The sequence below is a fragment of the Homo sapiens genome, chromosome 11 (genome assembly GCF_000001405.40).
Source record: "Homo sapiens chromosome 11, GRCh38.p14 Primary Assembly".
Classification (NCBI taxonomy): domain Eukaryota; kingdom Metazoa; phylum Chordata; class Mammalia; order Primates; family Hominidae; genus Homo; species Homo sapiens.
Genome location: NC_000011.10, coordinates 128,412,440 through 128,424,457, shown reverse-complemented (window position 1 = coordinate 128,424,457; position 12,018 = coordinate 128,412,440). Strand labels below are relative to the sequence as shown.

Genomic DNA, 12,018 nt, shown 5'->3' with positions numbered 1-12,018 from the left:
GTACAAATGAAGTGAAGCACCCAGAAACCTGAGGACCGCTCCAAACTGAGGCCTGGAGGCAGACAGGGAGGGCCCAACTCCTGGCAGGGCCTCCAGGACTCAGGCTCTCATGAATGAGACTGAGCTCAGCTGCAGCCTCAGCCATTCTTCGTTGCACTCAACCCATTATGTAGTGACGGTAACAAATTCATTGAATGACCTTCGGCATATATATATATATGTGTGTGTGTCTATATATATATATGTATATATATGTATATATATATGTGTGTCTATATATATATAGACACACACAGTATTTACACAATATTAGTTATTTGTTACTTTTTATAACCTCATCACCATTTCATTGGACAGACACTAATCACTAGCAGGATTGGAAATGTCACTGACATGCTGCTTAGGAAGTGATTTGAATAGAGGAGAATGGAATAAAATGGAGATCGTGTTTCTTTCTAAACACAGGAGGAATAGTGATGGGGAGACACAGTACAAAGGTGGGTAATTGGTATATCTTTTGTGCTAAGCTGCTTCACAATTCTGTAAACTATCTTTTAGAGGGCTAAATAAATATCTTCCAATTTCCTTGAGGACTGGGACCACATCTGTTCACTGTGGACTCCCTAGCACCTAGCTTGGTGCCTGGAATTGGTAGCTACTCAATAAATAGGTTTTTGGATGGATAAATGAATAAACAAACAAATAAATCAATGAACTTAATTCTTGATTTCTCAAGATCATAAAAAGATAATATTGAATTGGGGAATGTTACTTGCCAGATATTCGGGAAAGGGAATAGAGGAGAGAAAGACAGTTGGTATGCTGGTGGAAAATCACTTTCTCCCACGATGTTAGGAGAAGGAATGTTAGACTTGAAAGCAGAAAAGCCTGTGTTAAATCCTGTGATTGAGTAGCTGTGTGACCTCAGACAAACTGTTCAACCTCTCTGAGCCTACATTTCTTCGTCTCTCAAGCAAGACTTTCCAATGCCTACAGACATTATCTTGGGATTAAGAGAAACCAGGATGGAAGAGAGTATGATAGAGCGTCTAGCACACAGTGCTCCTGTGCTTTTGATAAGCTGGCATTTCAGCAGGCTTGGCTCTGGGGCTCAACCTCTTAAATGCACGCTGTCATTTATTTTCCCACGGATGGAGCTCACCATCTGTTTTCCCAATCAGCCCGAGTCCTCCTCCCCTCTTAGTGTTCTTCTTATAGGCCAGGAAGTCCCTCCAGTCCCAGGTATGCTGCTTCTCGTGGGCAGGTGTCGGGTCCAGCCTTCCCTGCATGGGGGCTGTGGCTGTCAATACCATCAGCTTGAGTGAGCTTCTCATAACAGCTTGAGAATGCACCTTCCTGTGTTTGGAGCTGTGGAGCATTGACCACTGATGAGACTTTTTGTGTGCTTTTACCTAAATTTGGGCCTGGGGATAAGCATTAGTTACTGTGCTGGGCTCACCCATCTTTTATGAGCAACAATTCATGCAGAAGGGAGAGCAGACACCACTGCTGAGCCCTCCTGTGGCTCTGCGCCCTTCTCTCCCCGTCCCTGCCACCACCTACACAGGGCGCCTGGGTGACAGCTCCTCTGTGGCAGCCCCTCCCCCTCCCATGGCACTGGGCTTTCCGACAAGCCTGCCAGCTGAGGGAGTGGTTTCTGTGGTAGGGGCTGCCTCCACTCATTTTCCATTAGGGTCACCAGGCAACCACCAGACAGTGACAACGCCTGATGCAAACTCTGCTGCACCTAGCGACGAGCTCTGTATCCCATTACGAGGCCTGGGCTGGCTACAGGGCTGGCTGTGCCAAGCTGCGCGTCTTGCTTGACAGGGCGGATGGGAGACCTGAAGCCATACTGTCCTCAGGGCTTGTGTGCCTGCCAATCTGGGACCAAGGGAGTGAAGTTGTGTTGGGTGGGTCAGGTTGATGCAGCAAGGTTTAAAATCAGATGTGGATCCAAATGAGGCATTCTCCTTTGTCCCATACCACGTGGGACATTTCTCTATTAGGATATTACCCAGGAAATTAACTGCTAAGTTTCTTAAAAAAATCCAAATTCTCATTTTTACATGGTGAGTTACAGTGTTCAAAGCAGACTTATTCCCATGTTTGAGATTTATCCTCCATCTAGCTGTTTGAGGTAAGTATGGTAAGTGACATTGTCTCTTTTTTAGATATGGAAAACTGAGGCTCAAGAGCAACTGACTAGCCAATGTTATATCAGTGAGTAATTAACTGACAAAGACCAATCTTAGGCATCCTTCTATAGCAAACTGTGGTGTAATCTATCCTTCTTTCCCAAGGATCCCACTCTCCCTTGAAATACTAGTTAATTAATCCAGGTATTTACTTATTCATTAATTCCAAATGCCTACAGAGTGCCTACTGCATGCCAGCTACTATTAAAGAGGTGAATAAACCACCGTGCCCTCGTGGCACTTAAATTCTTCGGAGAGACAGACAAGTACATGTGAAACTTCAGGTGGAGATAAAGACACTGGGGAATGGTGAAGCAGGGCAGGAGGCTGGGGAGAGCCTTTGTGCATATGTGTTGGGCTGGAGGAGAGCCTCTGCTGAATACGGGGTGACTACAGCAAGGCTGTTACTAAGCTGCCATTCCATCAGAGCCTGGAAGAAGTGAGGGAGAGGGCCTCCTGCCTGCTCTTGGGCATGTGCGGTATGACATCATGGATTAGTATTCACACAATGGCTGTGTAAGGCAGGAGTCATTGCCCCAGCGCCAGATAAGAAACAGAGACAGTAGCTTTTTTGGAATCCCACAACTGTAAGCAGGGGAGAGAGGGTCCAGACCCAGGTCTTTCTTCAAAACTCTGCTTGTAACCACCACCAATTTCAGGCAGAGGTGCCTGGGGAGATAACTTGGAAAAGAGCTCTTACCAGCATCGCTCATAAAACACTTTGTATCTACCAATAGCACCTAGGTGACTTCAACAAGGGACATTCTAGCAAGGGTCTGTTTTTATTATCTGACTTCCTTTTAATTTTGTTTATGTTTCACATCAGGCAGAGGACCAGAGCTCAGGGATCTCAGTCAACATCAAGTGTGTTCTGGCGAGAAAGACTGAAATCCTGCTAATAACATTTCTTCAAATCTCTCTTTAGTCAGGAACTATGCTAAGTACTTTATATGTAGTAAGTAGCACTCTGTGTCTCATCTAAGATTCAACTCAACTTTTACATCACCAGTGAGATCTTGGCCAATTGTCCTAAGCAATAGGCAAGAGAAATTTTAAGTGGCCAGAGCTGACGTGTAGGAGATATGGGGCAAGAGCTGGGGGCGTTTTTGTGGTGGCTTGGCTGGGGTCACGTATGTGTCTAATCTCCCTAAGTGAAGTAAACTGAGATTGGCTCTACTTGAAACCTTTTTTCTCTGGAATTAAACTATAGGGTTATAAGAAGCAACTCACGGGCTAAGAATGAGGGGAACTCCCTGACATACTTAGAGTTTCATTTGTAAATTTCCACTGTTTTGATTGTTAAAATGGTATGCTTATTATCAAAAAGGCAAAAAAGAAAAAAGTAAAAGCATTTCTAATTCTACCACTCAAAGACCCTCACCACTCTGATTCATTAGTGTTCTGCCTTTGTTCTAGGCCATATTTTAAGTATGTAATTTGGTCAAAACAGTTCATTACGTATGATGGCCTTTCTTGAGAACGGAGCTCTCCCTCTGTTCCCACAAGGCTGTACGCACACATGGAAACAGCTCAGGTTCAGGCTCCGATGGCCCTCCTTGCTTCTAAGGTGTTTCACCTTTAGTCGCTGGGGAGTTTTTAGGGAAAGCCAGGCCACGACTGGGTTCTGCAGTCTCCGGAAGGATTTTAGTTGACCCCCAGTCCTGGCACAGCCCAAGGGCATCAGCCTCTGCTACTGAGCTACACATATCCCCTGACAGCAACTCCCCCTAGCCCTCCCTAGACTGCGAATTTGTGAGCAGACAGCAGGATTCATGGCTGTCTGGCTTCTCCCTGTCCTCCCCCAGATGAGTGGAAGCCAGATGTCAGAGCACCAGGCAGACCTGAGGAGGATGGATGACAAGCCGAGATGAAATGGACAGTATCTGGTCCCACCTTGGGCTTTGGCTTAATTGCAACCACATGAGCACAGTCAGAGCTACAGGGTATAGTTGGGATTAGAATAGAGATTCATTTTGGGATGAGAGCTTTTCTGCATGAGATACTGTACTGCCTCAGACATCATCCTTTTAACAACAATCACAGTAGTTAACGTTTATGGAGTGCCTATCATTTGCCTGGCATGATGATAACTGCTCTATGAGCATTAATGCATTAGTTTTTATAATGCACTGCTAAGGTAGGTATTATTGCTATCTCCGTTTTGGGAAAGAAGGCTCTGTGGCACAAAGGGATGAAAGAATGTACTGAGGTTTCCCCAGCAAGTACAGCTAGTGGGTGCTGGAGCTGTGATTTGAAACAAGGCAGTCTTCCTGTGGATCCTAAATCTCTCCCTTGGAGTTTAATTTTATTTATTCATTCATTCACTAAGTAACTACACTCATTCAAGCTACTGTCGTCTTTCACCTGGATAACAAGTAATAACAACTTCCTAAGTTGTGCCTTTCTTTTACACAGAGAGTTTCAACCTTGGTTGCACATTGGTATCACTGGAGAAAATTTAAATAACTAATCATCTCCCTCTCCTGCTTAAAACATTTCTTCAGATAAAGGATGAAAATCGCAACAAGGCCCACACTACATGGCTCTGCAACATCTGACCCTTTCCTTCTTACCAGCCTCATTTTGTACAACTCACCCCTCACTCTCAGCATGCTGCCGCTCTGGCTTTCTTAGCCTTCTGGACGACTGCATGCTATTTCTTGCCTCAGGGCCTTGACATGCTGACCACAGTTCTCTTCAGCTAACTGTTTGGTTGACTCCTATCCCTTCTTTACGCCTTAACTTGGTGCTGCTGATTACAACAATGGCCACCCCTTCCTGTGTCTACACTCTTACCCTCTTTAAAATGTGACTTTGCAGCTCCTTCCATGGCCGAGGGGTGAAGTCTCTTTTCCTACCCTGTGAATCTGGGCTGGCCTTGTGACTTGCCTTGGTCAATGAAATGCTGCAGAGTGGTGACTGTGCCAATTCTGAGTCTCAGAAGGCTTTGCAGGCCTGGGCTTACTCTCTTTGAACCCCACCATTACCCAGAAAGCCCAGGCTAGTCTGCTGGAGGATCCTGACTGAGGCTGTCCCAGACCAGCCAACTCCCAGCTGACCATAAACTCATAAGGAAGCACAGCTGAGATTAGAGCTGGGGTTGGATCAGCAGAACCTCTTAATTGATCCACAGACTTGTAAATGATAATTAAATCGTTGTTATTTTAAGCCACTTTGAGGTCTACTTACTATGAAGCAATAGATACCTGATACACTTAAATATCGCTTTCTATTTCTCTTCCAGCCTAGGCCTCATTTCTTCATTCATACCCGAAAAGGACATCTTGTACTTATTAATTGTGGCATTTAGGATAATTCTATAGAAGCTAAAAATTGGTAACTGATGCTTTTTTTCTTCCTGATTAAAGTTTAAGCTCCATAAGATTAATATCCATATCTGATTTGCTCACTGCAATATTTTTATCATCTAGCACTGTGTTTTGTACATAGTAAGTGCAAAATAAATATTTTTTATAAAATGAAAGCAAGAATGAATGAATGGATTCACTAAACACTTATAAAATACCTTCTATATATTGGGTACTGTCTAAGATTCTAAAGATATAAGAATAAATAGGGCATAGTCCTTGCTCTTAAGTTGTTCTCAGTTTAAAAGCTGAGACATGAATATATAAACAAAAATTATAAACCAAGTTGATAAGTGTAATTGAGGTTGTATTTAGTGTTTATGGAAGCAGGATAGACTAGGGTTTGAACACATCTGGAGAAAAGGTTTTTCTGGAAAATCCGTTACGGAGGAAATATTTGAGATGATAGTCCCACATCTGATGGGTGTATTGCAATGGGTATTCAAATACCAAAAGTGGTACTTCCACTGGTAACATGATTTTTCACAATGATAAATGAAGCTTGTTAAATTTCCATATGAGACAAAACGTAATCTTTCTTTGATTTACATAACAGTTGCAAAAATTCAAACTGTACAAAATCATGTATTTAAACTGTACAAAAACTAGATCCTAGGTGTTTATATGTAAATGGCATTAAGTGTTAGGCTCAGATAAGTTTAAATAGTTTTCATCCACATAAATGTATGGAGGGACATTTGAAGACCAGTTAGAATGTGGGGCAATTTTTCACTGCATGAGAATGCCTTACACGTTGCAGGACATCTAGCATCCCTAGCTATTTCACAATAAGTGACAGTGGCATCCCCTCTCGATATTGGGACAACTCAAAATTTTCTTCAAATTTCTAAAGCTCTTTTTACCAAGGTGGTGTCACATGTGCATAGAACTACTGATTTTAAAAAAGTTGCTTTGACTAATTAACATTACTGCTTTATGCAACTGCATTATTTGAAGGAACTTATGCTGTCTGCACAAATGTTCTAACGCTTACAAATTACTTTGGCATTATTGCCAAAAGATGATTCAACAGAGTTTCTTGACAGGGAAGGAAAGAATCTAAATACTCCCTTTCTATTTCTGGAAGCACGTAACCTTGAAATCTAAGCTGCTCACAAGAAGGATGTAGTTCAGAAGCTCAGCAAGCCCACATTTCCTCAGGACTGGAAACAACCAACTACAAATCTGTTTCATGGTTCTAGGCAACAGCAGCACAAAAACACATGAAACGTATTCTGAATAGAGCACATCCTCATTAACTTTTACTAATGGAGCTAGTCTGGATTAGTGAGAAGTCGTTGTTGTTATATATTTATAACATAACATAAGTAATTAAATAATTATTTAATAAATTATTTTAAAGGGTATATAACACATGAGCAAACATATGAACCCTTACATTATGTGAAATCACTGTGCTAGTTGCTTTGAGGGTATAAAGATGCCTAACAAATGTTTCTGATCCTCAAAGAACTGAACATCTCAATTTGGAGATAGGATATAATTATGCAAAATTAACAACACCAACTGCAAATGCCTAAGATACAGACAGTAAGGACTTTAGTAGTTCAAGGGCAGAGAGGGCTTTGAGAACTAGAGTGATCCAGGAAGGCTTCACAGAGGCTAGAGCTGGGCGCTGAAAGATAGATATGAATCAAGTAAAACAATTAAAGAGTGCATTCCAGGTGGAAGCAATGGCCTTGGCAAAGGCAAGGAGGCAAAATTTAAGTGTCATCTTACAGAGGTTATAAACAGACTTACCTGGCCAGAGAGGAGAGTCATACTAGGTAGTAGTAGTCTAGTGCCAGAGAGTGAAGCATGTTTAATACCAGGATAAGATATCAGAACTGATTTTTTTTTTCTTTTGAGGAAAGAGGGGTCATTTAACATTTTAATCAAGGGAGTAAAAGAGTAAGAAGTTATTTAGGTGTTGGAGGGAAACCTTTCTTTCCACCCTGTGTTTGTATTTCATTATGGATAAGTCTGTAGCAGAGAAATACTCCTGGCTTTTTAGTCTCCCAACTCAAACCTCTCCAGGGAAGAAGGAATAATATTTTCCAATTGAGAATTTGGGAGATAAACTTGGGGATGCATAATTCAGCACCTTCCTTCCTCATCTCCTGAGATATTGCTGCAGAGCGAACACATCCTTGTTGCTTTGCACTCTAGCTTTTACCGACATAGGTCCATGTGGAGAGGCCTGTGTCCAGATGTGCTTGTGATTGGGTGAGCAGGTCTGTTTAATTCAGAATAAATTACTTGCATAGTCACTAGCTGTAAACCTCAGCTGGATTCTCTGAAATGGATTTTATCTATAATAAAACTGACATTTTAATCCCTACTTGTCTAACTTAGGTGTTTCTCTCTTAATTCCAACTTGGGTAGAAGATGACTGGTGCCTGTTAGCCTCTACCACATAGAAGATAAAATATCCAATTAGACAGAGGTAAAAGAAAATGGTTTCACCAATCCAAAGGCCCATTAAAAAGTCCTCCAAAGAAAGCTTATGCTTCATATACCTTGGACTTGGAAATTAGGTTGGCCCTGAAATAATCAAGGTCCCAGGGTAGCAAATAGAAAAATTTTAGGATGCTTTAGATCACATGTTGACAAACTGTGGCCCACTGGGTCAAATCAGGCCCATCACCTGTTTTCATAAATAAAGTATTATTGAAACATAATCATGCTCATTCGTTTGCATATAATTTATGGCTACTTTAGTATTTAGATATACTCTCCAGTATGTTGAAAATTTAGATATATTCATAAGAATTGACTAGATGCAACAGAGACCATATGGCCTATGAAGCATCAAAATCATTTCTAAATTCTGAGTGGTCATTGAGAATCAGCTACCATTCACAAATGTTTAATTTTAGTTTGCAAAACCAGAGTTGGTTAAATTGAAAGTTTGAGATACATTTTAAAGGGAAAAGAAAGGTCTTTCCATATTTTTATCAGAGTATTGAATATTGAAAAGTAAATAATATGCCAAATCACCGTAACTAAATCTTCTTTATCCATTCATCCTGCCCTGTAATTAATTCTTGTGCTGCTATATATGGGGTAGCAGTCTGTGTTGATGACATCATCTGCTTTTGAACTAAAACCATTCCTGGAAATCCCCACTCGGGCCAGTGGTACAGTCTGACAATTGCCCAAGCTCTGTAAACCTGAAGTTCTGAAGCCCATGCTTAGGAATTTCTTCACCCTGAAATATCAATTATTAAAAGTACATGGCATGGTCTTCGTATGAGGCTGTAAGATTGTCCTTTGCTGAAGACAGAACAGGTAGCCAGCATCAGAGGAAAGTAGAAAATATTTGTGGGTGAGATTAAATTAACCACATGCTGTGTTGTTAATTTATTGTAGTCATCAATAATATCGAAACGGAGGAATGTAAAATTCTCTACTGGGGGGCAATACATAACTATTTCATAAGGTTTGATCAATGTTTCTCCTGAGGATAAGAAAATACCATGAAGACTGAAGACATTATAAATCTCCAGGTACTTCCAATCCATAAAGCAAACAATTTGTGAACATTTATATTAATGACATTTTACTAACATAAAATTATTCTTTGATCTAACAACTCTTCCCACATAGGTATCTGGACAGGGTACATAGGTAGTAAAGAAGACTATTTTCTACCTCTTGTTGAGAGAAAACTAAATGTACAAAGATCAATTATAATTTTAACAGAATGAAAGCCTAATTCTAGTTTTTCATTAATACAATAGTGAGCAATAAAGATGCACAAGCTCTCTTTAAAAGTTACCTTATGAATAACAAATAACAAACTTTGTCAAAAATTTAACACATTTTATTGCAGTTATTAGATGGAATTTTGCAATTATTTTAGACAAGACTCAAAACTGAATTTCTGGAAAACTTTTACAAGTTTATAAATGCATTCAATTTTTAAAAATACATTCAGGTCATCCAAGTTTTTCTTTTACTATCCTTTGTTGTATTCTGAAAACATCAGATACTTCAGTTTAGAATAAAACCACTATCATGTTTTCCTTGATAAACTAAAGTACACTTTGCAAACATAATCTTATCTTCCCACTAGTATCTCTGCTAGCATAGTATTAATCACCCATATTACTATAACTTGTAACTAAATTGGCTATCTTCAACTTTCACGGGAAAAACCTGGGAGGTAGGTGATTGATAATTGTCTGTTCATACACAAGCATTTTAGCAGACTTGCAAGGATATGACATACACAATACAATCCCCTATAGCCACACAAATCCTTTCTAAAGTGGCAAAAAAGAGCATATTCATTAACATGACTGAAAGGTGTAGCCACTCCATGACATATAAAAGTAAAAAACTATGTACATATAGTTTCTTACTCTCTCTCAATCTCTCTCTCTCTCTCTCTCTCTTTCTCTCTCTCTCTCTTTCTCTCTCTCTCTCTCTCTCTCTCTCTCTCTCTATATATATATATATATATACTATGTATATGGTGATCAATTTTGGAGTATTCTATCTTACTTGGAAATTATCTAGGCATCCAACAATTAGCCATTAATTAACTAGGTGTAATGTTAGTCCATCTTAAAATTAACTAAGGATCTTGGAAGTTATTTTTAAGCAGAAACATTATAGAATGTGTTAAAACTTTGTTAAAATTGTATTTCAATTTGGTTGAAAACATAATTTTACAATTTTCACAATCATGATTATGTAGAAGTCATATTAGCTAATTTGATCAGTAAGTCAATATAAGAAATTTAGGAAGTTCAGAATAACTAGTCACTTTATCAGGAAACACCTCAAATCTTATAAAACTAAAATATATACTTACGCTTAATACACTAATAAGATCAGGGGAACTATATATATGGCTATTTTGAAACAAAATGGCCAAACAAACCAGTTTGACCTAACAAAAATTTCACCTTGATTCAGTAAACTTGGATTTTTACATAAAAATGCTTTTGGGCTAATTATTTTTATAAAAAGGGCTTTTTATACTTTTAAAAAATACTTAAAGTATAGTCTTTAAAATATATTTAAAATATTAAAATTTTAGTTTATTTTCTAGGAAAATATTCTGAATTCTGGGAAAATAATAGATTCATTTAAGCACGTATTCTCTCTAAGCTAATTACAACATAGAACATAATTTAAAATACTTTGTGACATAATTTCTTAATACACTCCAGAGGTAGAAGAATATTTCACATTTATGTACTGAGAGGTAAAGGCTTTCTTCACTTACAGATATACAGAGAGCCCATGGCTTCAGTTCTATAACTTCAGACATGAGTCAAAGTAAACACAAAAACACACTCACCGGGCTGGATCTCAAAGATTTGTTATCCTTTTTGGAAGACATACAATATTTATTTGAGCTCATGGGTAGACAAAAAGACAAACAAAAATTAATTAACCACATTATCTACTGTTTCTCACCTTAGAGAGACTAGATTCTTGTTATCCAAGAGATCACCAAATGGACAGATGACAAAACCAGATTCTCAATCATTGTTGCCGTCTATGGGGAATACCACATCAGCCACAGATAAATCATACCCAGAGCCAAACTTGGTCAAGTAAAGAAACAAAAGTGAAAATACAAAATCAGGAGAAAAAGACCAGAAAAAGTCAAGACAGGTGAAGTTGTAGGTGCCACTTGGGAATCACTCCAGGAACCCAAAAAAGACATTTCAGGACTTTAACAATTTGTGAGATGTACTTTTAGGCAACACAGTTGAACTGGCTCTGGAAGATGAGTTCCACGGGTAGGTCAGTGGGACCTTCAAAACAGTTAAAGATTAATTTTCAGAAAGTTAAAAACAGTACTCTCATGCAAATATGGATGGACTAGTTCTCAAATATACATTCATTTGTTAATAAGGGAATCAGTAAGATGGTAAAGCTACTCAAAGGGGGAAGTTTTGAGGAACTGGACATTTTACAGGCATTTAAGTAAAATAAGTAAAATAGGTATTAAATTGGTTAATGTTCTACAGGGGAATAAAACTATAACCTTTTGGATTATCTTCTCTACTGGACTGAAATATGCAAGTTAACCTGAAACTTTACAATGTCTGCACTCTAATAAAATTATAAAAGGAATGACAAACATAAGCAAATTCCCCAGGAAAATGAAAGAATCCTTGGGTGGGCCTATTAAGCAATGCTCCAGCATGATATCGAAAGGAAACACCACCCACCCTTCTTTGATTTTTTCCCCCTATTTTTGGATAATTTTTCTTAATACTTTATTGCTCTTCTTGTTCTGTTTGTGTGAGTGAAACATGTTTGTTTCTTTGTTCTCAAACTACTCCATTCTTAGATTTCTCTGAGCAGCCTTGATTCCTAGACAGCAAGTATTTTAGGATTTAAATTTTGCCTCTGGCCTTCAGGTTAATAATAATTTCATCAATTTTTTTTCTCTGTAACATTCTAAGATAATGGTATGTTTAAAA

At 38.9% G+C, this 12,018-nt stretch overlaps 1 long non-coding RNA gene across 1 annotated transcript in view, besides 1 other annotated feature; it reads right to left on the bottom strand.

Moving 5' to 3' along the window:
* The window catches only part of LOC124902789 (uncharacterized), a 40,983-nt gene extending 29,673 nt beyond the window's left edge, over window positions 1-11,310 (bottom strand). The window contains exon 1 of the long non-coding RNA XR_007062948.1: window positions 11,000-11,310. This is a non-coding gene — a long non-coding RNA (uncharacterized LOC124902789). The remainder of the gene's footprint in view (window positions 1-10,999) is intronic.
* Window positions 1,631-2,131: an enhancer, noted in NCBI's record as "H3K4me1 hESC enhancer chr11:128292222-128292722 (GRCh37/hg19 assembly coordinates)". NCBI's record gives its function as "activates a minimal SCP1, AML or CMV promoter by ChIP-STARR-seq in naive H9 embryonic stem cells {active_cell/tissue: H9 hESC(naive)}" and the evidence as "EXISTENCE:reporter gene assay evidence [ECO:0000049][PMID:30033119]".
* Window positions 11,311-12,018: the final 708 nt, after the last annotated feature.